This window comes from Homo sapiens, chromosome 1 (genome assembly GCF_000001405.40).
Source record: "Homo sapiens chromosome 1, GRCh38.p14 Primary Assembly".
NCBI lineage: Eukaryota > Metazoa > Chordata > Mammalia > Primates > Hominidae > Homo > Homo sapiens.
The window spans coordinates 171,184,843-171,212,829 of NC_000001.11; the positions used below are offsets into that span (position 1 = coordinate 171,184,843).

The 27,987-nt window shown below is 38.8% G+C and overlaps 1 protein-coding gene and 2 long non-coding RNA genes across 6 annotated transcripts in view; 1 reads left to right on the forward strand and 2 right to left on the reverse strand.

Moving 5' to 3' along the window:
• Positions 1-27,987, reverse strand: part of FMO1-AS1 (FMO1 antisense RNA 1) — a 131,518-nt gene that overhangs the window by 64,471 nt on the left and 39,060 nt on the right. The window lies entirely within an intron of this gene.
• Positions 458-27,844, forward strand: FMO2 (flavin containing dimethylaniline monoxygenase 2). 3 transcript variants are annotated; one of them, NM_001460.5, is made up of 9 exons: positions 458-517; positions 866-1,003; positions 8,493-8,681; positions 11,807-11,969; positions 14,504-14,646; positions 19,023-19,222; positions 20,437-20,792; positions 22,876-22,948; positions 23,952-27,844. In NM_001460.5, exons 2-9 carry the CDS (start codon positions 872-874, stop codon positions 24,301-24,303), a joined length of 1,608 nt encoding a protein of 535 aa, NP_001451.2. In that variant the 5' UTR covers positions 458-517; positions 866-871; the 3' UTR covers positions 24,304-27,844. The 3 variants fall into 3 exon arrangements, with proteins under 3 accessions (NP_001451.2, NP_001352829.1, NP_001288276.1); NM_001365900.2 differs by lacking the exon at positions 866-1,003; NM_001301347.2 differs by lacking the exons at positions 866-1,003; positions 14,504-14,646.
• LOC124900413 (uncharacterized) overlaps positions 11,248-27,987 on the reverse strand; it is a 28,272-nt gene continuing 11,532 nt past the window's right edge. Inside the window, exon 2 of the long non-coding RNA XR_007066731.1 lies at positions 11,248-12,096. This is a non-coding gene — a long non-coding RNA (uncharacterized LOC124900413). The remainder of the gene's footprint in view (positions 12,097-27,987) is intronic.

The following is a 27,987-nucleotide window of genomic DNA, read 5'->3' on the forward strand; positions in this document are numbered from 1 at the left end:
TAGGTACACAATATTGATATACTAGAAAGTTAAAAAATCAAGTTGGAAATTAGACTATTCCATTTCTGTTTGTGTGTATGTATCTACAAATAGGTGGAAGGATATACCAAAATGTCAACAGCAGTTACCTCTGGGTGGTGAGGAGTAATCTTAACCTTGTTATTTATCCCTATATGTTCATTTGTGAATGAATATTTATTACATCATTATAAAAAGGATTTTTAAACTATCTGTATGTTTAAGAGTATATGTTGCTACTATGTAAGAGTATATGCTGTTACTGTAAAGACATTGCATTACTACTGTTGACCTCAGAGCACGAGCCTCTTGCCTAATTCTAGGACTCCTAACTAAGTCTTTGGAGTTTCAGCTGGAAGAATGCTGGAGGAATACGGAACTCCTCCCATTTCTCACAGCCACCTCCAACTCTTAAAAACGCTTCCAACTGCCTCCCAGCACACAACCAAGGGAGAAAACTATTCTGTCAAAGAGACGGTGCCAAAAGGCAAAAACAAAGGTAAGGATGATCGCTGGGGAAAGAAGCTGAAAAGGAAAAGCTCAGAACTCTAGCTGGAAATTTGGCTCACATCCCTAGTATGTTACTGCATAGTCTGGCTTTGTTCAATGGGTCGCTTTTAAATATTAAAGCTAGATGTAAGCAAGGTTTGCAACAAAGTCCATAAGAAACTCAGCTTTTCTCAAAGGCAAGAAGAGAGCAGGATTTTTGACTGGCTCTTTATTCAATAGTGCTGCTTATTAAATTACCACTGCTACAATGTTTAAAGCCAATTACCTGAGCACATCATAAGGATTCTCTTACCGGTTGTCCCAGTTAAGTAATGTTGATTGATCAACTCCTTGACAGGAGCTGATGGCAAAGAAGGTAGCTGTGATTGGAGCTGGGGTCAGTGGCCTAATTTCTCTGAAGTGCTGTGTGGATGAGGGACTTGAGCCCACTTGCTTTGAGAGAACTGAAGATATTGGAGGAGTGTGGAGGTTCAAAGTAAGTGAGATTTTCTTGGGTCTTGAACAGGTTGTGTTGTTATTTCAGGGTGAATCACAGTTACTGATGGGTCATATTGAGAAATTTATTAAACAACTCTGATCAGATTTTATTTCTACTTATTGATGTGGCCATAATGGAACTGAAGTCATAGGCTGGCATCTCTCCCCCAGTCAATACTAACCCAACCCAGGTAGCTGACCCAGGCATGTAAAAGATCTCTTCTTTTGGATTCAGCAATTGTCTTACAGCCCATACTTCTGTCATTCTTTAATACGCTAATATTAGAGAACATTTTACAAAAATAGAAGTAACAGGGATTCTTCTCAAGATATCACTTCTGTTTCAATTATTAAACCAAATGCTTCTTTAGAGACCATGCTCTTATCATTACTATTTTTCTCTGACAAATGAAGCATGTTTGTTTACTGAGCTTTATCAATGACATTCTAGTATAACTGCTGTGAAACTCTTTGTTAAATATGTTTTATTAAATTTATTCTATTAATCAAACCAAAATATTGATAATGCTATTTGTCTGTATTAGTCCATTCTCATGCTGCTATGAAGAAATACTGAGACTGGGTGATTTATAAAGGAAAGAGGTTTAATTGACTCCCAGTTCCACAATGCTGGGGAGGACTCAGAAAATTTACAATCATGGCAGTGGGAAAGAGAGGTGCTGAGCAAAGGGGGAAAAGCCCCTTATAAAACCATCAGATCTCATTAGAACGCACTCACTATCATGAGAACAGCATGAGGGTAGCTGCCCCCTTGATTCAATTACCTACCCCCACCAGGTCCTTCCCAAGACATGTGGGGATTGTGGGAACTACAATTCAATATGAGATTTGGATGGGGACACAAAGCCAAACCATGTCACTGTCCTTAAAAATTTGTATAAAACTTAGAAAGTTGCATAGATAGCTATAAGGAGTTACAATTATTCCTTCCCACAACCTCTCAATAGGTAGTAGCTTACCACCTTCTAGCTGTGAGATCTTGAGCAAGTTATTTACATCCTGTGTTTCAATTTACTCAGTTATAAATGGATATAATAACAGGAAAGTGTGATTATCTCATAGTGCTATTTTGAAGATTAAGGGAGATAATTCATATAAAGAACTTAGATAAGTTCCGGACTCATAGAGTTCAATAAATGTTAGCTACTAATAATAACTATATATTTTATAGATGAGCAAACTGAAAGTGAGGGAGGTTAAGTGAGATGGCCAGGGCCACACAACTGGAGGAACTGGCCTTCAAACCACGGCCTACGTGACTTCTAAACAGATAAGCCCTGACTTACAACCATGCCCTAACTTGCATTCTTGCTCAAAAAGATTAAACAAAAGTTTAAGTTCAGAACCCAAAAGCAATGACTTTAGAATTATGTAATCAGGTATCCCTGAGATATTAAAACACATAAGAATATTCCAAATGGGAACAAAAGGTTTGAATACATGAAAATCAAACTCATATCAGCAGAGACCATATAAAGGGCTCTCACTGCAGGCTGACTAGTTAGGAGGATGGCAAGGTGATCCAGGACCTGCGCATGCTTTGTCAGTTCAAATTGAATCTCATGCCAACAGCGATCTTTTTTAACATGTAACATTAGGTGTCTCAGGTACACATGACCATAAACCACACCTGGAGGGTTTCTTTTATTTTCTTTTTAATATTTTTCTGAGACAGGGTCCTACTCTGTCACCCAGGCTACCATGCCCAGCCATGGAGAGTTTCTTAAAGATACTGATTCCTTTGGTTAAACCTGCCACCAAAAAAAAAAAAAAAAAAAAAAAAAAATACTGATTTGTGGGCACTCCATCCCAAATCTATGGAATCAAAATCTTCTGGGGGTTTTTAATAAACATCTCAAATGAATCCTATGATAAGACAAATTTGGTAATTGTTACACAAACACCTAATTTAAAAATCTGATCATTCTACTATCTAAACACACTCAGAGTTAATGAGGGAGAAGGGAGAAATTGATTCTTCTGTAAGACGGGTAGCTTTGCAAAAAGGAAAACAGCTTAAATCACATTCATTTCTTATTAAAAGCTGATGATTAATATCATTTTAGTTTTTCCTGGGATGGTGATATAATATGGTGGTCATTCCTGTCTTAACCAAAGATATTTTTGTCCACTCTAGGTTCACATGTAGATTTCAGCTGGAATTTTTTTTTTTTTTTTTTTTTTTTGCTCCCAGGTAGATTCTTAACCTAAACAAGAAATGTAGAAATTACAGTTGGTCCTTGGTATATGCAGGAGATTGGCTCCACAACCTCCCTCCCCCAGTATACCAAAATCCTTGCATACTCACATCCCACAGATTTATTGTCAGCAAAAGAGATGAGAGTTAGTTTGAACAGTCTGCCAACAATATGATTTGATGAATTCTAGGAAGGTATTTTCTGCAGTAAAATATTTCTCCAACTATCCTTTTGCCAGTATCTAAAATTTCAGATTAGAGATAACTTCCTATTCACTAGAAAAACTGGATTAAAACCTGATTAATTAGGCTTTATTGAATATTAAGGGTTAAGTATATAACTGTGGAACTTGTAACAGTATCACATTTCAAATTTCTCTTAAAACTATATCCAATAGAGGAATGTAAACTATTGTCTCCACTCAACGAAGTCAAAGAGTCCAAAGAGTCTCCCTGCAGAGTGAAACATAAAATAAGCAAAATTTCATAGGCTGCCTGCACTACGGCTATGTGAGGGTTTTGGTTACCAGGTGACTGGGAGTTTCCAAGAAGGATGCTGGGAGCCCCATGCTCTTCCCTGGGAAACTTTGCCTTTTCACTACTCTACCATCCAGAAGCAATTTTTTAAATGGGTTATTTATTAATTTTTGTATTTACACAACTCCTACTGGGATTACTTAACATATTTGGTGGTGACAAGTTAACAATAAATAAGTAAATTTAAGAATCCTTGTCCTATACCCAACCCAGACAATAGAGTTCTTCCAGACTCTCCAGCACCCCCTAGTGGCACATATGGACCATGGGACGGGTAGGTAATTAGCATATATTTTTCGTTCTGTTTCCAGCAACGGGAAGCACTTGGCAAGCATCACCTTCTTTTCTTCGCAATACTGCTAGGAAGTATGTATTATGATTATCTTTATTTACATATTAAGAAGAAACAGTTTTCAGATAAAGAATTTGCTCAGGGGAACATAGGTGGCGGGAGAAAAAAAACGAGGGTTTACAATTTCGGAGCTGTCACACTTAATAACCTTGCTGAAGTATTGATAGAGGAAAACATGATCTTCTTTCAGCCGCTAACCTTCTCTGTTTCCTTTATTGTTCCTAATACCTTGTATTCACGTGGGAGTTACCATGTACATTTTTTTTCCTGTGGGTTTTCTTTTAATATTTGGATTTGGATCTCCTCCTTTTCCAGATGTATATGTTTAGTTATTTTAATTTTCATGTAATACTCTCTAGACATATCTCAATCTTGGTTTTCTTCCTCTAAGTTCAATCTGAAATATCACTTTCTCTCTTAAATTTGGCTCCCCCAAGATCCAACATTCCAAACATATTGCCAATGAGTGTATACCTTTTAGCTTGAAAGCAGCAGAAAAAAAGTGGTAAATACCTGAGCCAGGGAACTTAATTAGGGGGTTCTATCAGTGATCAAGGCCAGTGATCAAGGGAGACACCAGCCTAATGAAAGATGACAGAAGATAGCAATACTCTAATAGAGATGTGGTTCACAAAGTTCATTGTGCAGAAGCAGCTAGGGAGAGCTTCTAAAATACAGAAATCTGAGCCCGTCTTTTTTCTTTTCTTTTTTTTTTTTTTTTTGAGATGGAGTCTCGCTCTGTTGCCCAGGCTGGAGGGCAGTAGCGCAATCTCAGCTCACTGCAACCTCCATCCCCCGGGTTCAAGCGATTTAGCTGGGATTACAGCCTTGTGCCACCACACATCTGGACCCATCTTCTAATGCAACTGGTCCACTGACTGGCATTTGGGAATTGCAATTTTGCCTCTAATTGTAGGACAAGGAAGTAAGAAGAGTTTTAATCATATTCAATTCAAGTAATGGAGCAGATAGATGTAAGGTCCATCCGAAAGAGTGAAATGATAGAATCACAGAATATTCTTAAAGAAAGGCAATTTTATTCTTTCTAACTGCTTATGGTAACTACCCATGAAAGCAAAAATATTGATTGGTAAGGGTCAATATAATGATGTTTCACGAAGAAAAAGTTTAATTTGTAAGTTTTTGTAATTCACATTTATAATAAATAAATCTGTTTCTGCTTTATAAATTTCCTCACTTGAGTAGATTAAATATTACCCTTATAATCTTCTTTAAACTTACTGTTTACAACCTTTTTATTGTCATGAAGTCAAACATAAACTTCAATTCAGCTCGTGATCAAAAGATCATAAATTCTAAATAAGTGCTATCTGAATTAACTTGGTTTGCTAGAGTTTTCTGACATTCTGAAAATTCTATATTAGAAGAATTCTTTATTATATGATAATTTATGTTAAACAAATTATAGCAAATTCTACACATAAGGAAATTCAGACTATATTTATGCTTAATTATCCAGGCAGTAGTAGTACTTAAGTAAATATGTGAGTTAAATTTATCTGTTTTGAAAACTGTGCCTCTGTCCTCCTCTTGATTGACAATAAACCCTCTGTCTCCACTTTCACATCTCCAAAGTTCAAGTGCATTTTAATACAATATAACAATAAGCACCATAAAGATATAAACTATGTTTGTACTGTTAGCATCTTATCCCTAAATCCAAGCTCAGGCCCTGGTCAGTTCAAGCATTTGATACATACTTGTCTATTAAATCAACATTAATCATCTCTTCATAACTAGGAAAACTAGGCCAATTTTACCCAGATTTGTCTAAATACACAGATGCCTACTTCAGCAAACTAAATGTAGAAGGAAGCACATATGAAGACAAGGGGGTCTTTTTTAGCTGCTATTTACCAATTAACCCAACAATAAAAGTTTATCACTTGGCTGGGCGCGGTGGCTCACGCCTGTAATCCCAGCACTTTGGGAGGCTGAGGCAGGTGGATCACCTGAGGTCGGGAGTTCGAGACCAGCCTGACCAAAATGGAGAAACCCCACCTCTACTAAAAATACAAAATTAGCTGGGCATGGTGGCGCATACCTGTAATCCCAGCTACTCAGGAGGCTGAGGCAGGAGAATCACTTGAACCCAAGACGGGGAGGTTGCAGTGAGCCGAGATCATGACATTGCACTCCAGCCTGGGCAACAAGAGCAAAATTCTGTCTCAAAAAAAAAAAAGGGATTATCACTTGATCTTCAGAAAAATAGTGAGGTCATTATTGTTTGCTGACAGACTACACAAGTAAAATCTCCCAAAGGCCAGTTTTGCCCTGGCCCTAAGATTACTGTAGGGCCTCAGACATCAAATCAGTTCTTCTCATCACTCAAAATTCCCTTAAAATTGACCTGATAGAGAAGCCAACCACATTTTTAAGCCAAATTGTTGGGTCTTTTAAAAACTAGCATTTTGGCTGTAGTATAACAGTCTTAGTTTAACTGATTCAAAACTATGGCTGGCTTAGTAAATTTAACGCTAGTGGCCAATAATAACAGAAAAGAGATAAATATTCTTAAGTATGTATTTTGAGCCAGGGATTCTGCTAAGTACTTTATTCACTCTCATTAAAGCCTTGAAACAATTGTTGCATGTTTAAGTTATTAATGAGCCCCATTTTACAGAGGAAAATGAGGAAACTGACCTATGTAACTTGCTCATGGTCACAAGCCATTAAAGGTGGCAGAATTAGGATATCAATCCAGTCGGTGTGACTCCAGAACCCTCCTATTTACTCTATACTACTCATAAAATTATTTGGTCTTGGGGCTGGGCGCAGTGGCTCATACCTGTAATCCCAGCACTTTAGGGTGTTGAGGTGGGTGGATTGCTTGAGCTCAGGAGTTTTAGACCTGCCTGGGCAACATGGTAAGACCTCATCTCTACAAAAAAAAAAAAAAAAAAAATACAAAAAATTAGCCGGTGTAGTGGCACGCGCCTGTAGTCCCAGCTACTTGGAAGGTTGAGGTGGGATCACCTGAGCCCAGGAGGTTGATGCTGCCGTGAGCCATAATCATGTCACTGCATTCCAGCTTGGGCCACAGAGTGAGACCCTGTCTCAAAAATAATAATAATAATCTGGTCTTGAGAAAAAATAGTATTTTTTTCTTCATAAAATATTTTCCATTTTGAGAACTTGATTAAGAAACTCATTGTCTTGCCAATGACATTACATTCAATCATGCTGAAACATCCAGAAATAGTTTACACATCAGTTTGACATCAGTATTATGCAATTTGAAGCCACTGTTTGAAAATAAAAACACTGTACCGTGATTTGTTTATCCAGAGTTCAGATTATTATATCCTTGTATATGAGACAGAAACCCCCTTGTATTCTAGTGCAAACTCTCTTTGGATCTTAATATGTATAGTTAACAATAATACCATACTACATTCTAACTACCTAGAAAGCTAGCATACCTTAACCTGATTAACTTTTACCAAGTTACTTGAAATTATAGCAAAGTTACCATTTAAATCTTGATTCTGGCCAGGTGCAGTGGATGAACCAAGCATGGTGGTGCCTGTAATCCCAGCACTTTGGGAGGCTGAGGCGGGTGGATCACGAGGTCAGGAGATTGAGACCATTCTGGTTAACACAGTGAAACCATCTCTACTAAAAAATACACACAAAAAAAATTAGCCGGGCGTGGTGGCAGGCACCTGTAGTCCCAGCTACTCAGGAGGCTGAGGCAGGAGAATGCCGTGGACCTGGGAGGCGGAGCTTGCAGTGAGCCAAGATCACGCCACTGCACTTCAGCCTGGGTGACAGAGCGAGACTCTGTCTCAAAAAAAAAAAAAAAAAAAAAAGATTTGATTCTATCAGTCTACTCACCTTTATAGCTTGACAATGATTGATTTGTGTAAAAGGATTCAAATCAAAATTTGCAAACTCCCTTCCTCCAAAGGTACTCATTTTATAATACTGAAATTCTCTATTATGTTCTCTGCCCAGTGTCCCAGGGTTTATTGGTTTCTAAAGAGGTAGTGGGTATATACAGCCTCCCCAAGGGGAATTTAGGAAGTAAGCTGGTTGTCACAAAGACTGGCATTAAATAGGTAGAGACCTAGGATGCTAATATCTTGCAATGTGCCAAAATAATTGTCCCTGTCCCCAACCTCACCATTGCCAATATTACCCCTACCCCTCACAGTGAGCGTCACAGGCAGGCAACAAACTGGTGTCGTCACAGAATGATTGATGGAACACATAGACTGCATTCATTACCTAAACATTGTCGTCACACTGCAGCAACCAAAGACAATCGCATTACCCAGGGGTTAGATGTAGGAAGAGTAAAAAACAAAAAATTTTTGAATGCGTAATTATCACTAATTATTTTATTTGATCCTTCAGGAGAATGTGGAAGATGGCCGAGCAAGTATCTATCAATCTGTCGTTACCAACACCAGCAAAGAAATGTCCTGTTTCAGTGACTTTCCAATGCCTGAAGATTTTCCAAACTTCCTGCATAATTCTAAACTTCTGGAATATTTCAGGATTTTTGCTAAAAAATTTGATCTGCTAAAATATATTCAGTTCCAGGTATTGTATTTTTGGGGAAATGGGTTTCTCTGCATTAGTTCAGCTCATATTTAGATAGAAAAGTTACTCTGATAATGAAAGCAATTATGAATGAAGTATCCCATTCTAAGTATTTGTTGAAATATAACAGCCTCATATAAAACCCAAAAAGTAGTGTCATTACCCTTGGTATTATAGATTATATACATTAATTGAAGAGGAAAATCATCTGTTAAAGTTAAAGGTTTGAATAATAATATATTGATGTCAAAACTTTTTTTTTTTTTTTCTCCCTGAGACAGAGTCTCACTCTGTTGCTCAGGCTGGAGTGCAGTGGCATGATCTCAGCTCACTGCAACCTCTGCCTTCCAGGCTCAAGTGATTCTCCTGCCTCGGCCTCCAGAGTAGCTGGGATTACAGGCACACATCACCATGCCTGGTTCATTTTTGTATTTTTGGTAGGGACGAGGTTTCACCATTTGGGCCAGGCTGGTCTCGAACTCCTGACCTCAAGTGATCCACCCGCCTCGGCCCCCCAAAGTGCTGGGATTACAGGTGTGAACCACCACACCCAGCCTCAAAAATTCATTTAAACTAATATCTGTTATCATTGAATACACCTAGCTTCATTTGCCTTGAAAGGGCGTATACCAAAATTAAATTGCTGTTTTGTTTTCTTAGCTTCTTCATAGAAATGGGATTTCTTAGATGTGTATTAAATAAATTCATTGGTCTCTGTTCATACTAGAAGGCTGTGGGAAGTATTTGCTTATCATTTTTTTCTGAATGCAATCTCTTACAACCTAAAGATGGCCAGATCATTTTGAAAAACACTTGGAATTACCTTTTCCTGTGCTTCCTCAAAATCAACAAAAAGCAATATTTTAATTAAGCATGCTGAATTTTTATCAATGGTCTATACTTTGAGAAATAGCTACTATGCTTAGAAAATAAAATATAAATCACATTTCTTGGCCAGGTATGGTGATTCATGTTTGTAATCCCAGCACTTTGGGAGGCTGAGGCAGGAAGATCACTTGAACCCAAGAGTCTGAGACCAACCTGGGCAATACAGTGAAAATCTGTCTCTACAAAAAATTTTTAAAAGATTATCCAGGCATGTTGATACCCACCTGTGGTCCCAGCTATTCTAGACTGAGAAGGGAGGATTGCTTGAGCCTGGGAGGTCAAAGCTGCAATAAGTGGTGATTGTGCCACTGCACTCCAGCCTGGGCAACAGTGTGAGACCCTGTCTCAAAGTAAATAACTAACATTTCTGGATAAATAACTGTTAGTGAGGCTTATTTTTAATACATGTCATTTTCTTAGTAATTCTAATACTAGGCTTATATAATATCAACTTACAATAGTAAATTTTGGTGAAAATTTGTATTTATAAATTCCATTAAAATGTCCAGTTCTACCTAATGTAGTTTTTCACCAATTCCTGGTAGATCTAACTTGTGAATAACAGATTATGTATACCAGAAGGTTTTGTAACTTTGTGCACTTAACTATCAATCTACTTAACAAATATCTCGCCTTTTTATGATAAATAACTTCTATTCCATTCTTTTAAAGATCATGTTAGAGTCGCAAGGAAGTCATTTCTCTTGGTTATTGTGTTACTGCTACTTTTGTTTCTTGGAGAGTGAAGAGGGGTTGGGAAGAAAGGTTTCTGTTTATTGGTCTCTGAGTTGGTGTAAGTCATAGGTGTTAGAGCTCAACTCGAGAAGCAGGCAAACTGTAACAAGCCCTGTTGCTTATGATTGTCAATGTAATCTACATCAGTGCTTCTCAAACTTTAATGTGGACATGAATCACCTGGATATCTTGTTAAAAATGTAGGTTCTAATTTAATAGGTATGGGGTAAGTTCTGAAATTCTGCATTTCTGACAAGCCTCCAAGTGATACTGAAGATCCTGATCCTCAAATCACATTTTGAATAGCAAGGATCTACAGCACTTAGTTAATATACTACTTTGAACTACCATCTGAAATCTTTTCTTTCATCTGAAAACTGCCCAGATATTTAAAGCCCTTTTACAAGATTTCTACTAATATTCCATATACATTTTTAAATTGAGACAGCTTAAAAATTACCAACCCAGCAGTTGGAAAAATATCTGAAAATTTGAGATATATAAAAGACTAAAATACTTGCAAATGAGAAGCATGCCATTCCTCTAGCATTATAAACTTTGCTTCCACTTGACATCGTTTCTTAATCCAGCAGATATGAAACATTTATGTACAATTTTAAAAATTAACAGACCTCCAGTGAGCTACATTTAAAAAAATCAATGAACCAATAAATCATTTTATTCAAATAAGATCATGAACTGTCTTGCTCACATGATGTACTCTGTTTTAAAAATAGCAAATGTTAAAAACTATCATTCAGTGGAATGCTGACCATGTGTCAGGCACTCTGCAAAGTGTTTTGCGTGAAATATCTTCTCTAATACAAAGTCCACAAAGAGGCGGCTACATAAAACGTTCCTGACATATGCCAATTGCATGATCACTTGAATTATTGGTTTGTTTCCTTGTTCAGATTATCAAATAACAAACAGAGAGAAGTTCTTTAAAAGAAAAGATATATATTTGGTGATAGAGCATTGTAATGAGAATGTACATGCCATGGTAAACTATTTGTGTATTCAGGGAGTTAAAGGAAGACAAAGGTTTTTAAATGGGGAAAAAATACAATTACATAATTGTTTTGAAATAATTATATAAAGAGCAATAACAAGGGTGATGCCAGTCTGAGATTGGACAGTTACTGAGCAGATGTTCTTGTAGAAGTCATTTTTGTGTAAGATTATGATGGTCTTTGTGTAAGGTGGTGGTTTTTGTAGTTTTTGTTATCAGGCACACATCATGAGAACCCGCTCTTTCTGGCCTTTCCCAATTCTATTTGTCGGGTTTCTTAACATTAGTGACTCCATCTAGATTCTGACAGTTTTCATGAGAACTTGCTTTTCTTTTCTCTCTCAAGTCCTTATTCAGTATTCAACACCCTTAACAGATTAGTCCCACTGCTGAGTCAGGCCTCTTGCATGAAGCAGCAATGAGAAAGACACACTTGGCCAATGTTATCCTGGAGTAATTCTCAATGATGCCTTCTCTGTGTTTCTTCAAGACAACTGTCCTTAGTGTGAGAAAATGTCCAGATTTCTCATCCTCTGGCCAATGGAAGGTTGTCACTCAGAGCAACGGCAAGGAGCAGAGTGCTGTCTTTGACGCAGTTATGGTTTGCAGTGGCCACCACATTCTACCTCATATCCCACTGAAGTCATTTCCAGGTGAGACCCGCTGGGATTCCCAGCTTTTTGGAGTAGGTTTCCAGGTACTTTATATGTAGTTTGGATTGACAAGCAGGATTCATTGCTGCAACTGGGCAGAACTTGGCTCAATAAGATTGAGACAGAGCTAGAAAGATGAAAGACACCAAACATCATCTTTGTTTCTATTGGCCTCTGAGTCTTCATCACACATAGATCTCAGAGCCAACTTCCTTGGAAGTCACTAAGTCCTTGGCATAATTTTAGAGAATTCACATCAAACTGGTTCTCTGTTGGAGAGGCCCTTTTAGCCATGTGCCTGCGTTGGCCTTTTTCTACCCTGCCAAACACCGAGCCTTTTTCACAGGGCCATACTCACACACAAGGGGAGAGCTCCTAGAAAGAAATGCTTTGCAAGTTAGTGATGGGGAGAGAAGTGCAGGAATAGAACCCTGCATCCAGCTGTTCTGGTCCACCCAAGTCTTTCCTCAGAGAACACACTTCTTTCCCAAGGCCCTTAGGAAAATATGTAATATAGTGGTTCATAGTCCAGGCCTCATATTAGAATCACCTGGGGAGCTTCTAAAGCCCTGATGGCCTGGAGACCTACCCCCAAAGATTCAAACACTATGGAGTAGGGTTAGAGCAATGAAAGTTTGCTCAGGTGATTTTAATATACAGTCAGGATTAAGGCCTGCTCATCTAAAGCAATTGTTCTCAAATAGAGTCACCTGGAGGGCTTTTGAAAGCACAAATTGCTAGGCCCCACCCTCCATATTTCTGATTCAATAGGTGCTATGGCTTGAATGTCCTGTCCAAAACTCATATTGAGATTAATCCCCAATGGGGCAGTATGAAGAGGTGGGGCCTTTAAGAGGTGATTGAGTAGTAAGAGCTCTGCCCTCAAGAATGGATTAAGCCATTTGTGGATAAATAGGTTAATGGATTATTGGGTTACACAGGAGTGGAACTGGTGGCTTTATAAGAAGAGGAAGAGAGACCTGAGCTAGCATGTTAGCATGCTTGGCTCCCTCACCATACAATGCCCTATGCTGCCTTGGGACTCTTCAGAGTCCAAACCAGCAAGAAGGCTTTCAGCAGACGCAGCCCTTCAACCTTGACTTCTCAGCCTCCACAATTGTGTGCCAGAAGAAATAACTTCCTTCCCCTATAAAATATTCGGTTTCAGATATTTTGTTAAAAACAATAGAAGACAAATTAAGACAGCAGCTCTGGCATGAGGCTGAGAATTTGCATTTCTAACACCAGGCAATGCTGATATTGCTGGCCATGTGACCACACTTTGAGAACCAATAATCTAAAGATTCTTTCAAGCAACCCCACCGTCAATGGCAAATACTTTATAAAGTCATGTGTTTCCGTGAAGTGTAAAAGTAGTAACTAGGAAAGGACACAGAAGAAGCTTGTCTGTGATTAACCACCAGCAAGTCACTGATTTACACAATATGGAAACCAACTCCTATGTGCCTGGTTTTTAGTTTTAGTTTTTGTTTACTTTTTGAAAATAAGATTGCTAAATTGTATTCTAACTATTACACAATTATAATAATAGCACTTCATAATGTGCTTAAGAAATATTTAAGAGTATCTGATAAGTGATTTTTTTTTTTTTTTGAGATGGAGTCTCACTGTCACCCAGACTGGAGTGCAGTGGCACGATCTCAGCTCACTGCAACCTCCACAACCTCCATCTTCCAGGTTCAAGCAATTCTCCTGCCTCAGCCTCCCAAGTAGCTGGGATTACAAGTGCACGACCACCCCTGGCTAATTTTTGTATTTTTAGTAGAGAGAGCTTCATCATGTTGGCCAGGCTGGTTTCAAATTCCTGACCTCAGTTGATCCGCCCGCCTTGGCCTCCCAAAGTGCTGGGATTACAGGTGTGAGCCACCACACCTTGCCTAATATGTGATATTAAAGGGTCAAATGTCATTATATAGTCCAAAATAGTATATAATAGGCAGGCAGAAGACAGTATCTGGTCCTGCTGTGTTCATCACCATTTATTTGTCTCTGATAGAGACAAACTGCAGCCGTAAGCTGCAGCCTCTGAAATAAAAAATCAACCCCTTTGGTCCTGTTTTTTTGTTTGTTTTTTGTTTTGTTTTGGTGTTGTGACAGTCTCACTCTGTCACCCAGACTGGAGTGCAGTGACTCAATCAGGGGTCACTGCATTCTTTACTTCCCAAGCTCAAGCAATCTTCCCACCTCAGTCACCCGAGTAGCTGGGACCACAGGCATGCACAACCATGCCCAGCTAATTTTTGTATTTTTTGTAGATACAGGGTTTCACTATGCTGCTCAGGCTGGTCTCAAACTCCTGGGCTCAATCAACCTGCCTAGGCCTCCCAAAGGGCTGGGATTACAGGCCCCACCTGGTCTGGTACCTAAACTTTCTTATGTGCTTTACTCCTATAGAGAAGAGGCAAAACAAATTATTAACTCCAGAAAGGAAAAGCTGGCAATGCAGTTTTATTGAAATTAGCTTGACATAGTTGCTCTGGAGCTCACAGACTTCTCTCTTCTTCCCCCTGAAGGTATGGAGAGGTTCAAAGGCCAATATTTCCATAGCCGCCAATACAAGCATCCAGATGGATTTGAGGGAAAACGCATCCTGGTGATTGGAATGGGAAACTCAGGCTCAGATATTGCTGTTGAGCTGAGTAAGAATGCTGCTCAGGTGTGATGCTCTCTGCTTACCATGTACCTGGAGGGGAGGAAGTGGGGATGCCATACTGGAGAACCCCAGCCATATAATCGCGGCTCCAATCCTCATTAACTAGTTGGTTGGTAGCGCATTGTGGCATCATAGAAAATCTGGAAGTCAAGAAACCACTTTACCTCCTAGCTCTGTCAATAACCAGCCATGAATCCTAGAGTGATTCATTTCACTTCTCTGGGAGATGGCTCCCTCATTTTTAAAATGGGAACTTTTGACCAGATGATTTTCCATATAAGAGGCCTTTCATCAACATGGCTCACTGCAGCCTTGACCTCCTGGGCTCCAATCTTCCTGTCATCTCAGCCTCCTGAGTAGCTGGGACTACAGGCACATGCCACACCACACTCAGCTAATTTTCATATATTTGTAGAGATGAGGGTCTTGCCATGTTGCCCAGGGTAGTCTCAAACTCCTGAACTCAAGCAATCTGCCCGCCTCAGCCTCCCAAAGTGCTGGGATTACAGGCATGCACAACCACACCCAGCCAAGAGGCCTTGTTTCTACCTGGATGTTTAATGAGAGGTTAATCTGTTCATATTCTGGAGGGTGGCTTTTAGAAATTTAGTGTGTATTTGAATTATATTTGAAATATAGATAACCTTCAGTTACCCAAATATTATGAAAAGAAAGATTAAATAGATAGTAGGTCTCTCAACTAAAATCATAGATATTTAGGTGCTTCCTGAGGCCTTCTAACCACTGTCTTCTTTGCACCTGCTCAGGAATGACACCAGCTGAGCTGCCAAAGAGTCAAACATTCATTACACGATGATGCTGCTGATAGTGGTGGTCAGGAATAGCAAAAACTAAACTCCTTCTGCAAGGACAGACCCAGGCAAAGAAGGGAAAATCACTAAACATCCTTTCCCAAAGTATTCCCTCTCAAGAAGGCCTGAACCAGATGCCCAATCACTCTTACCCTAGCTCTTTCAGCCTGATGTCTCTGGCCACCCAGGGCTTACCATGGCCCTGTGCACAACCAACAAATCATTTCCATCCTAAGTCTTACACTTTCAGGACTCTAGATACCCAGTGGCAAAAGTTACAAGCAAACATGACACCCGCCCAGCAGGTTAATGAAGGGGTTATACTGGGACCTGTCAGAGTCATCTATCAGTCAGTTAGTTAGTGCCAGCCCGGGAACAGAGCAGGTCACTAACACCGGAAAGAGACTTACTAGACCCAATAAGTCTTCACTTTGTGAAAATAAACCTCTTGTCACTTATCACCTCAGTGTGAAGAACAAGTGAGGAGGCAGGAACTGTGACAGCCTGGAGAAGAGCAGAGCTGGAAAATGAGAGTACCAGCTCTAGGCTCTTTCATGCTAGGAATACCCGCAAAGCCTTAGGAACAGTGTGTAATGGGGCAGTATGTGAGGAGCTAATATAGCAGTCAGCCAAGTGAAGATCCATCCTAGACTACTTCACGTTGTCAGACCAGTGATTTGGATTTAGATCTCTTCATTCCAAAGATATCAAATCTTAGATGGCAAGAACCAGTTCCTTGTATGGGTCTTGCCCTACAGGAAGACTTATGGTGTGAGATTCAATATTAAGAAACTACCTTGGCTCTATATGCATGCCTTACAGCTTCTTAAACAATCTTTTGCACAGAGTGCAAAAGACTTTGTTTCCATCTCCCTCTATCAGTGTAAATGCCACTAGATGCCCCCTTTTTAGGAGGTACTTCACTTTGAGGTCAATCATCTTTAAAACAGAGCCTCAGTAAATTCTGGGGCTATGCATGTGATACATCACCTACATAATAGATTCCTCCTAAATATAATGTTATAATCATACATTTCCAGGATTATACTCATTCATCTGCACTAATCTCTTCAATATTTATTAGAGTAACAACATAAATCTATAACTATGATAAAACCTCTTACACAGAGTAATATACTCTCAAGCCTTCTGTGAAAAGACTAACCAGAGACTTTACAGGAGCTATACATGCTAGGAACGGAACTAGGCGCATCTGCAAAACTTGAAATTACAACCTGAACTCACCAAAATTCTGAGTGTGCACTGCTCTGTTAAAAGAAATTCACCTTCATAAGGATACAGCACCCTCTACCACAATCCAAAAGCACCACTCAAGATCATATGGGATGGTGCTGCATCATTGTATTAGTCCATTCTCAACGCTGCTATGTAGACATACCCGAGACTGGGTAATTTATAAAGAAAAGAGGTTTAATTGACTTACAGTTTGGCATGGCTGGGGAAGCCTCAGGAAACTAACAATCATGACGGAATGCACCTCTTTACGAGGCTGCAGGAGAAAGAATGAGAGCGAAGGGGGAACCCTTATAAAACCATCAGATCTCGTGAGAACTTACTCCCTATTAGGAGAACAGCATGGCAGAAACCTCCCCCATGACTGAATTATCTCCACCTGGTCCTGCCCTTGACACGTGGGGATTATTATAATTTAAGGTGAGATGTGGGTAGGGACACACAGCCAAACCATATTAGTCATTTACATACTTCTGACCAAAAACCAAATCTCTGGCCTTTGACCTAAAACATGCGTCTCAGAGAAAGCAGCCTGAGCCTAAATCCTCATGTTTCTCTCACTGTTGCAGCTAGTGTCATTAAGGCAGGTTAGACCACCCTGCTGTAGGGAGGGTCACAACAGAAAAAGAGTGAATCAAACGGGCAGAGCATACCATTTGAAACATGGTTTGCTCCTGAGAAAGAAGAGGGGACAGTAAGTAATGGAAAGAGACACTAATGAAAATATTTTTGTATCTAATATCTAATCAAAGTATTGCCAAGTCAGCCTATAAGGGCAACGGCAGGAGAAATTCAGAACATAGGTATATACCACACACAGACCAGCAATATAGGAATGCTTGGTATAGGTGCTACTTCACAAGCTAGGAATGTAAGGCCCATCCCCACAAAATTTGTCTCCAAATTCTGGTTTACTCCAGACATAAGGCACTGTATGAAACTCCTCTCTTCCAGCCTAACTTTATAACTTAACAGCTAGCAGTACTTATCACTTGCCAGGCAATATTTCAAGTACTTTATATATACCACCTCATTTAATCTACACAAGAATGCCATGAGGTAGGTACTGTTAATACCCCCATTTTACAGAGAGAGAAACTGAGGCACAGAGAGATTGAAATAATTCAACCATGGCAACACAGATTGAAATAGTTCACCCACAGTAGTGTGATTGGGATTCAAACCCAAGCAGTCTGTATCCAAACCTCTCAAGTAAATTGGTTACCTTGCAAGTGAATCTTATGTGTTTATCAAGTATAGCCTTAAACAAAAACTTATTGCATGGTATGTAAAAATTTAAGAAGCAGTTCAAGTATGCATTTGGCCAATGGGGGAGTAACAGCAAACACAGCAAAATATACATTTGAAAAGAGATTAAATGTACATTTTGGAAACAAGGGAAATCTTAATAAACAAGGTAAAGAATACACCTGAAAGAGGATTCAGATGTGCACTTGAAGAGAAAGAGAATCACAGTATAAGTTCAGAGTTTTTAACTTTTAAAATACATTACAAGCACTGTGTCTCATGCCTGTAATCCCAGCACTTTGGGAGGCTGCGGCAGGAGGATTGCTTAAGCCCAGAAATTTGAGACCGACCTGGGCAACATAATGAGACCGTCTCTACAAAAAAATTGTTTGAATTAGCTGGATGTGGTGGTACATGTCTGATACTGAGGTGGGAGGATCACTTGAGCCTGGGAGGTCGAGACTGCAATGAGCTATGACTGCACAACTGCAGTCCAGCCTGAGTGACAGAGCAAGACCCTGTCTCACACACACACACACACACACACACACACACACACAAAATAAAGTCTTTTAAGTATGGAAGGAAGATTATTTCCCCTGTTATTCTCCATCCAGGGATATTCAGATGCATATACACTTATACTTGTGTAGTCACTAGGCTATAATCGCACATTTCCAAGGATTATAATCATTCTACCTGCACTATAGAAGAAACTTAGGTGAGTGGAAAACATGAGAGGAGGGAGGGAGGAACTTTCTCTTAAGGAGCAGCAAACCACAACTGTAAACATGGGAAAGACTTGTGGATTTTATCATCAGAGTTAGCCCAAAGACTTTCTCGTGTCTCCATGAAGTTCTCAAGATTTTGTTGCAGTCTTCCTGCATCAGTGTAAATGCCACTGGGTACCCCTATTTAGGAGGTACTTTACATTGAGGTCAATCATCTTTAAAACAGAACCTCTGTAAATTCTGGGGCTACACATGTGATACATGACCTTCATAGTAGATTCCTCCTAAACGGGACAATGCCCTAATTTAAACTGCATTTCTTTTTGCTTGCCAGGTTTTTATCAGCACCAGGCATGGCACCTGGGTCATGAGCCGTATCTCTGAAGATGGCTATCCTTGGGACTCAGTGTTCCACACCCGGTTTCGTTCTATGCTCCGCAATGTACTGCCACGAACAGCTGTAAAATGGATGATAGAACAACAGATGAATCGGTGGTTCAACCATGAAAATTATGGCCTTGAGCCTCAAAACAAGTAGAGTTATTTTGCTTTTTTAATGGTATACTCGTTGGTGAGCAAAGTTGTCTGAAGGTGTCTCCCTTAACAAAGATTCAAATTGCTAACACGGTAGTTAAAACTACAATCTAACAATATGAGTATCTTATAGGTCCTGGAGTTTAGCTTCTAAATTTGTTCTGTATGCCTTTAAAAAATACTTAAGAAGATGAAGCAGAAGTGTTATAAGCTGCTCCAGAAAGCAAAACTAGGGGAGAACTTTCTAATACCCAGAGTTATCTAACATTGGAGAAAACTGTTTCAAGAGATTACGACCTGCCTTTCAGAGGGGTGTGGTGGGAAACATGTAATTCTCCATCTAATAATTTATGCTTTGCTAACCCTATAGCATGAAGGTTCTTCCCATGGGAAACCTTTGAAAACACATTCCTTTTTCTTTGCTAAAAGACAAATCTCTGTTGACGTCAAAGTTATATGTCAGTGATTTAAGCACAAGCAAATGTTATGAATGGTTCTTTTGCTTTAGTTGTTACAGGCTTCTTCCCTTAAAAAAACAGAAGAGCTTTAGAATCTTTTAACAAATGCCTGCCGTGCAACTACCATATTCTAAGATCTGACATAAGTGCCACGTATCGTCTATTAAAAAAAGAAAAAGAAAATGTTCTCAAATCTACAAAAAAAATAAGCGGACTTTGCATCAACATCCATGCTATTACTAACAGAGACTCCATGGATATTTGGGATTAACAAATATCACCAAACCTAATTTTATACATTAATTTTCACATTGATCCCTTCATAGATTTCAAAACTAGTGGAAATTTAGCAAATTTTTTCTTATGATCAAATAGGGGTTAAATAAAACAGCAAAATAATAAAAGCTAGATAGCATGAAAAAGGTTAAAAACAGAAATGGTATAATAACCACCATAATACTTGGGGATTGACCATAGGCACAGGCATTTTGTCTAAGCCCTTGGGGATGCTTCCTTCCTTAAAATCTCTTTCACTCACGTTGCCTACATGTTTTCCCTTATTTATTGACAAGAGATATTTGTGACATGAGAATTAAGTCAGAAAATAAGGATTTGCACAGACAACCAGTTAAGTTAGAGTTTTACAGATATTTGAAAAGCCCTTTTATTTTCAGAGCCGTACCCCAAAAATATCAAGAGGGTTCAAGATTCCTCAGCAAATGATCCTTCAGAATGTTTTTCTTCTGTATGTCTCAGATACATTATGAAGGAACCTGTACTAAATGATGATGTCCCAAGTCGTCTACTCTGTGGAGCCATCAAGGTGAAATCTACAGTGAAAGAGCTCACAGAAACTTCTGCCATCTTTGAGGATGGAACAGTGGAGGAGAACATTGATGTCATCATTTTTGCAACAGGATATAGTTTCTCTTTTCCCTTCCTTGAAGATTCACTCGTTAAAGTAGAGAATAATATGGTCTCACTGTATAAATACATATTCCCCGCTCACCTGGACAAGTCAACCCTCGCGTGCATTGGTCTCATCCAGCCCCTAGGTTCCATTTTCCCAACTGCTGAACTTCAAGCTCGTTGGGTGACAAGAGTTTTCAAAGGTAAGTGTGTAGGCAGGTGAGTGGCTAAGCGTTTCAGATCTGGTGAAGTTTATCAATAATGATAAGAAGGTTGCCTGAGATAAAAAGGTTGCCAAGAAAAAGTTTGACAACCTTGGCTGCTCTCACAAGACTAACATTCTAAAAAGTTACTGGAGAATTCAAAGAATAACAAATACAGGAATTTAGTAATAATAAATACCTGCAATCATCCTTTTAAAATATTAGACAGTCAAGAGAATTTCAACTGGCATAAAGCTAAGTGCATGTTAACTTTTCTTTGAATCGTGAGAGATAAGTTTAAGAAAAAGATCTGTCTCCTGGTTTTACCTCTGTGTTGTTTAAAAATTCCTCAGCATATCTGCAAATCAATTTAACTCTTAATACTTGAGCAGCTCAACCTCACAAATCCCTACAAGTTATAAAATTATTAAAAGGTTTCTTTCTGGGTGTCTGTGTAGCACTTCATACTCCTCAGAACGGTGTTACCTCCCTGCCTCCAGGGTTCAATTCTGTTCAGCAAAAGCTTACTGAATACCTTGCCCTGTGCTGGGAACTGGTGGGACAGAGAGAAATTTAAACAGATCATTTCAACATAACATGACAAATGCTTTGATTGAATAATATATGGAGTGTTCAGGGAAGGAGAGAAAGGGCACTTATCATGGTAGAATAAGGGAAGGGCACATGATAAAGGAAAACGTCCTGGATAACTGCATTTCTCAGGGGCAGAAAAGGGGATTGCCTGAACAAAAGCATAGAGTCAATGATGCATATGGAAGGGCACATGCTATTTGACATTGCTAGAGCATGACGTATGAGGCAGAGAGAGATGAGCCATTACTCTTGGAGAAGAAGGAGACAGGACACAGGAATTTTGTAAGACATGCTATGGAGCTTAGATTATAAATTATAGATCAGTTCTTCCCAAATATGGCTACATATGAAAATCATCTGATGGATCCTTAGGGACCCTGATTAAGTAAGACTGGCCAAGGGACCTGGAATCTGCATTTTAGAAAGCTCTTCAGCCCGGGGCACCAATGAAGGGTTATAAGCAAGGAACAGGCATTAGCAGATTTACACTTCAGATAGATTGTTTCAGCAGTAGTGTGGAATATAGATTTGAAAGTGGGGAAAGACTACAGCCTCAGGGATGAAAGAGAAAGCTACTGAAATAGCCTATGCTAAAATATGATGCATCCTGGGCCAGGGCAGAGATACAAAGTGGAAAGGAAGCCATAAATGTGAGAAATCATTAAGGGAAAAATCAGCATGACATTATAATTGGTTCAATGTGGGAAAGTCAGAGAAATAGAGAGGAATCTAGGAGGACTTACAGATCTCTGGCATTGGAAACCAGGTGGACAGTAGTGCTGTGAATACAGAGGGGGTGTGCAGAAAATGATGCAAGTCTGGACAGGAGGGCTTCAGTGAGGAGCTCAGGTCTGGACTACTTGAACATGAGATGTCTGATGACTCTAGGCAAGGGGACTTGACCATATTTCAACACATCCAAAGCTCAGGGGACACTTGTGGGCAGGCGATGGAGTCATGAGCACACAGTAATAACTTCTGCATCAATCTTTCCCTATCTCTACTGCCCTACTCTCATCTCTCACCAGGTTTATTTCAACAGCCTCTTTACTGGTCTCCCCAGCTTTGGGCTTGCCTCCCTGGAGTCCATTTTCCTAAATTCAGCAGCCAGACAGATCTTTCCAAAAAATAAATCTGATCTTCTCACTTCATTCAGAATACTCTTCCACTGATTTGATTTGGGGCCTCCTGTCACCTTCAGGATAGAGCCCAAACCACTAGTCATGGCTGCCAGGCTCCCAGACACACTTCCCTTTTCCAGCCTCTTCTCTTGGCCCTCTCCACTTGTAGTCCATGCCGTAGACTGTGCACCCTGGACAGTGTCACATAGAGTGCTATGGGGGTGGCACCCCCTGAAGTTCAACAGCACGGAAGCCCTGACTGGTATGACATGGTTCAATGTCCAGAGTTTAATTTTAAGAATCAACAACTAGACAAAGTAATGATATTGACTCAAACTTACTATTCAAACCAACCTTTTATTCCTTAGGCTTGTGTAGCCTGCCCTCAGAGAGAACTATGATGATGGACATTATCAAAAGGAATGAAAAAAGAATTGACCTGTAAGAATTTTTTTTAATTCTTTACATGAAGCAGTGTTTCTCAAAGTACAGTGATCTAACTACTTACAAGAACCACCTAGCTGCCTGATAAAATGCAAATTTCTGGGCTATAGCCCAGATGATTGAATCAGAAACTCCGTGTGTGAGGCTAAAAAGTTGCATTTTTATCTTCTTCCTAAGCGATTCTTATACATACTAGGTTAAGAACCAAATACTTAAAGATAAGAATTGTACCAAATCAGAGCACTTCTCCTTGGCTTAATTTCATTTCAGTTGTATATGATGCCTATGTCAGATTCCATAACTTCTCAAGCCACCTACACTCTGTGGTTAGAGAGGGAATAGGATGAGACAGTGGTGGTGATAGTAGCTTGAATAGCTGTGAAAAGTTAGAGAATCCCCATCAGAATAAATTAGGAAGGGGTTGGTGTGAAGGTTCAAGGATTTGTACTTTGTGATGAGGTAAAATGAGGTTCAACAGTGATCGAGTACCCTTGGAAAGTTGATTTGGGGCTTACATCAGGTGTAAAGAGTTTTCTCATGTTCAAATTCAAATTTACCTAAGATTGATTGAGTATCTACTATACGCCATCCAGACTGCCAGGTACTTTAGTAATTTAACAAGCAAATATTAAGCATCTCCTTTGAGCAAGACACCAAGCTATGCTTTCATATGCATTATCTCATGAATTCCTGCAGCCGCCCTGGCTAGCATGTACTTGCCTGGAGATTTGCCACCGCTTAAAAAATGCCAAACAATGGTTACCAATCTTGTCACATTTCTAGAGCATCCATGAATTCATGGCTCTTTATTTGAGGGCGTATTCTCAATCTGAGATATGAGCCTCCTGGTATGATAAACTCAAACTTTCCACCAGAGATTCATTGAAAACTCATTCACATATTCACTCATTCCTTCATTCCTTTAGCAGTTTTGAATGCCTAATATTCTAGAAAACTTAGAACATTCTGTGAACATTCCCTTTTTACTTTCTTCACTAAGGTTTGGAGAAAGCCAGAGCCAGACGTTGCAGACCAATTATGTTGACTACTTGGACGAGCTCGCCTTAGAGATAGGTGCGAAGCCAGATTTCTGCTCTCTCTTGTTCAAAGATCCTAAACTGGCTGTGAGACTCTATTTCGGACCCTGCAACTCCTATCAGTATCGCCTGGTTGGGCCTGGGCAATGGGAAGGAGCCAGAAATGCCATCTTCACCCAGAAACAAAGAATACTGAAGCCACTCAAGACTCGGGCCCTGAAGGATTCATCTAATTTCTCAGTTTCTTTTCTGTTGAAAATCCTGGGCCTTCTTGCTGTTGTTGTGGCCTTTTTTTGCCAACTTCAATGGTCCTAGTCAGCATAATGCTTTGGGCTTTATTATCTTGTCAGTCACTACCTCCTAAAGAAAAAAAAAAAGGCTAGAAGAAAAAACATTACATTCATGTTCTAATTATAGATTTTAGAGTTAGGTAGTACAGGTAAGGGGGAAATTGTAAAGAATTAGCAGAATTAGGCATATGTACAAAACCAAAATTTTGTCATGAAATTTTGCCTTTCCACGCTTCCCTCAGTTCACCAAAGTTACCAAAATGTAAAATAAAATAAGACTGGCTCAGGTAAGTAGTGCTGCCAACCCTGATATAGGGGAGTTGTATGGAAAAATAGTAGAATTACACAGCATGAAAAGCAGCCCATGGTTTAAATTATTGGACAATTTAAATTGTGGGTAAATATTTAAAACTCCTGAACAATGTTTCTGATGGTCTTCTATCCACCCTACTTGGTAACAAAGTTCTCAGATGTTAGGTCATGTTTCATTTGCTCAGTCGGGGATCACTCAAAACTACTAGACAAAAAAGTGAGAGGATAGATTTAGAAAACATCAGTGATGCTCAGATAAACTTTTAGGACCTCATATTAAGAGCTAAGCAAATGGCCACATTTCCTATATTTTGACAGAGATACTGCTGGAAAAATTAAAATTAAAATGCCATAATAGCTACCTAACAAATATATATGTTTAATGTTTATCATAGGCCAGACATTGTGCTATGTGCATATCATATGTATTATTTCATTTAATTCTCACAACAATTCTGTGAAATGGTTACAGCTATTATAGTCATTTCACAGATGATGAAACTAAGATTCAGAGCAGCTGATCTTGTGAGGCAGCTGGAATTGGAACTCAGATTTGTTGAACTCTAGAACTAAAGATCATAATGTTGTCTTGTAATATATTTATTTACAAAACACTTCATTATTTATAAAGAATTTACTAACAGTTTATCTTATTTATACCCATACATCTGCTACTTTGGGAGGCCCTTTACATAGAAAACAGCATTCTTTTTGCCAAATATGACCAAATTACTTTTATTTATAATTTTTGATTTATATTTCAGCTAGATCTAAAAAGCATCTGAAGGAATTTACAATGAAAGATACCTATGCAATAACATTTAGGATAATCTTTGACATTTTGGAAAAATAAGAATTGAGGAAAAAAAGTGTATCTTTCAAGTAGATGCAAAGCATTATAATGACTGACACTTGTATCTAACTCCAGTCTTACAGATAACTAAGGCAAAAAGCTAAATAAACAATATGTAACCTCTAACATTTGGTAAAAGGAAGTATACTGGTCTGTTAGCAGAGACAAACTTTTTTTAGAATTGAAGTCTGAAACAAACAAAAGCAATTCAATGTCAATAGACATTAAGCAACATAATAGACAAACATCTCCTAAGGGAACATTTGTTACAGCTGCTCCTTCCCTGAACTGTGCTTTGGAAGATAAGCTCTGTCCTGAGTCCAAACCAAGCCCTTCCAAGAGAGAACAAAGGTCAGAGATGTTGAAGATTCCAGCAAATTTCTCCTCTTATTTCTACCAAGCCTTTGTGAACATTGCTCTTCATTTTGGCCTGTACTTCTCCCTCAGGGACGTAGAACAATGGAATGTCAGTCAGTCTCTGTAGTTAAAACTTTTTCTTTAAAATTCAATTAAGGTACTTCTCCCTCAGGGACGTAGAACAATGGAATGTCAGTCAGTCTCTGTAGTTAAAACTTTTTCTTTAAAATTCAATTAAGGTACTTCTCCCTCAGGGACGTAGAACAATGGAATGTCAGTCAGTCTCTGTAGTTAAAACTTTTTCTTTAAAATTCAATTAAGTTACACCAGAATTTACAGGCAAGATTTTTTTTTTCATTGCTCCCATAAGCAAATTTGTTTTAAAATAATTGTAAATGAGGTATATACTTAGTTCTTGGTTAAAAAATATATTGCTTTGTTAAGTATTAAAGATTATTTGTAAGTCATTGTATTAATAATACTAATAAAATTTATCAAGCCTTTATAGCAAGGGTCAGTGAATTACCACTGCCTGTGGGCCAAATCTAGCTCACTATCTGTTTTTGTAAATAAAATTTTATAATAGTACACAGCCACACTCATTCATTTATTTTCTGTGGTTGCTTTCAAGCTACAATTGTAGAGTTGGGTAGTCGCAACAGAATCTCTGTGGCCCACAAGGCTAAAATATTTACATTCTCACCCATTACAGAAAAAGTTTGATAATTCCTGCTTTATAATATGTAAGGCATTGTCCCATTTTGCATAACTTGCCTTATTTCATCATTATCACTACCCATTTAGTAGCTATGGTTGTTATCTTACTTCTACAGTGGAAGAGATTGAAAAGCATTTGTCAGGTTAATGCTAAATCAGTGCGGAAATATAGCTCCACTAGGAAAATATTATTAAATTTATATCCCTAAAATTTTTAGAAATCTCTCAAAATCTTTCCAAATGTTCTGGTATCTTTGAAAAATGTAAATAGTTTATTTATAGAGAACCCTACCTCTGAGGTTGACTCAAAGGTTAAAGAAGGCTCATCAGTCTATCCTTCTGCCTCCATATATCCTGAACATCAAACTATCCCAGGAAAACCATCTAGAGTAGTTTGTTTCAAAATATTAGCCACAGACCACCTACATCACAATAACTCAGGGAGCTTATAGAAGTGAAGATTCCTGAATATAAACATAGTAATAATTCAACCTACTGAATGGAAATCTCTGCTGAAATCCACAGTTTTCATAAGCTCCCCAGATGATTCCTGTGTACATTAAATCTAGAAACCATTAGTTTGAGATCTCTCAAAAATAAAAATAAAAATTGCTTTCAGAGAGTAGCCCATGAAATTTCCCATTCTTCAAGGACAAATTCCTTCTGTTCAGCCTTGGTCCTCCAACTGCAGTTTACAATTTTTGTTCTTCTCCTGTAAAGAATGTCAATGGTTATCACCTTCAATAGTTTCAATATGTCCCCCAAAGTTATGTGTTTGAAACTTGCAATAGTATTGGGAGATGGGGCCTAATGAGGTGATTAGGTGAAGTCTCTGCCCTCATGAAAAGATTAATCCCATTATCTCAGGAGTGTGTTGGTTATAAAAGCAAGTTTGGCTCCCTCTTTTCCTCACACACTCTTTTTCCCTTCTGCCTTCACCTTTGCCGTGGGTGGACACAGCAAGAAGGCCCTCATCAGATGCTGGCCCCTTGGTCTTGAATTTCCTAGCCTCTACAACTAAGCCAAATAAATTTCTGTTTATTATAAATAACCCAGTCTCAGATATTCTGTTACAGAAACACAAAATGGACTAAGACACCACCCTTTTCCAAAATCTCTCCTTGTGATGGCTCCCTTTACTAACCTTTCTTTTAGCTATTCCCTTTATGATAGTTTCTTAATTTTTTCTATCAAAAGCTAAATATGGCACACTTGTTCTTTACAGAAAAATAAAGATATTTTAAACAAAATACTAGGGCCATGGTATGTAATAAAATTTGAAACAATAATTTCAAATAATAAAGATTGAAAATGCTTAACCCAGAAAGAATCCAGCATCCACATTATAATGAGGATTAAAAGGGAAGCCTCTTTTGTACCATCAGTCTTTCATCCGGGAAGCTGCTGCTCCTGACCTGCAACTTTGGCTGTTTCCAAGGAGGCAGAATGTGTTAACAGGACTCACTTTCT

Excerpts from the sequence above, each read along its gene's own strand:
- FMO2 (NM_001460.5), top strand. The coding sequence starts at position 872 with ATGGCAAAGAAGGTAGCTGTGATTGGAGCTGGGGTCAGTGGCCTAATT. Across the intron at positions 14,647-19,022 it reads TGAGTAAGAATGCTGCTCAG|GTTTTTATCAGCACCAGGCA; the intron begins GTGTGATGCTCT and ends TTTGCTTGCCAG. Across the intron at positions 22,949-23,951 it reads AATGAAAAAAGAATTGACCT|GTTTGGAGAAAGCCAGAGCC; the intron begins GTAAGAATTTTT and ends TTCTTCACTAAG.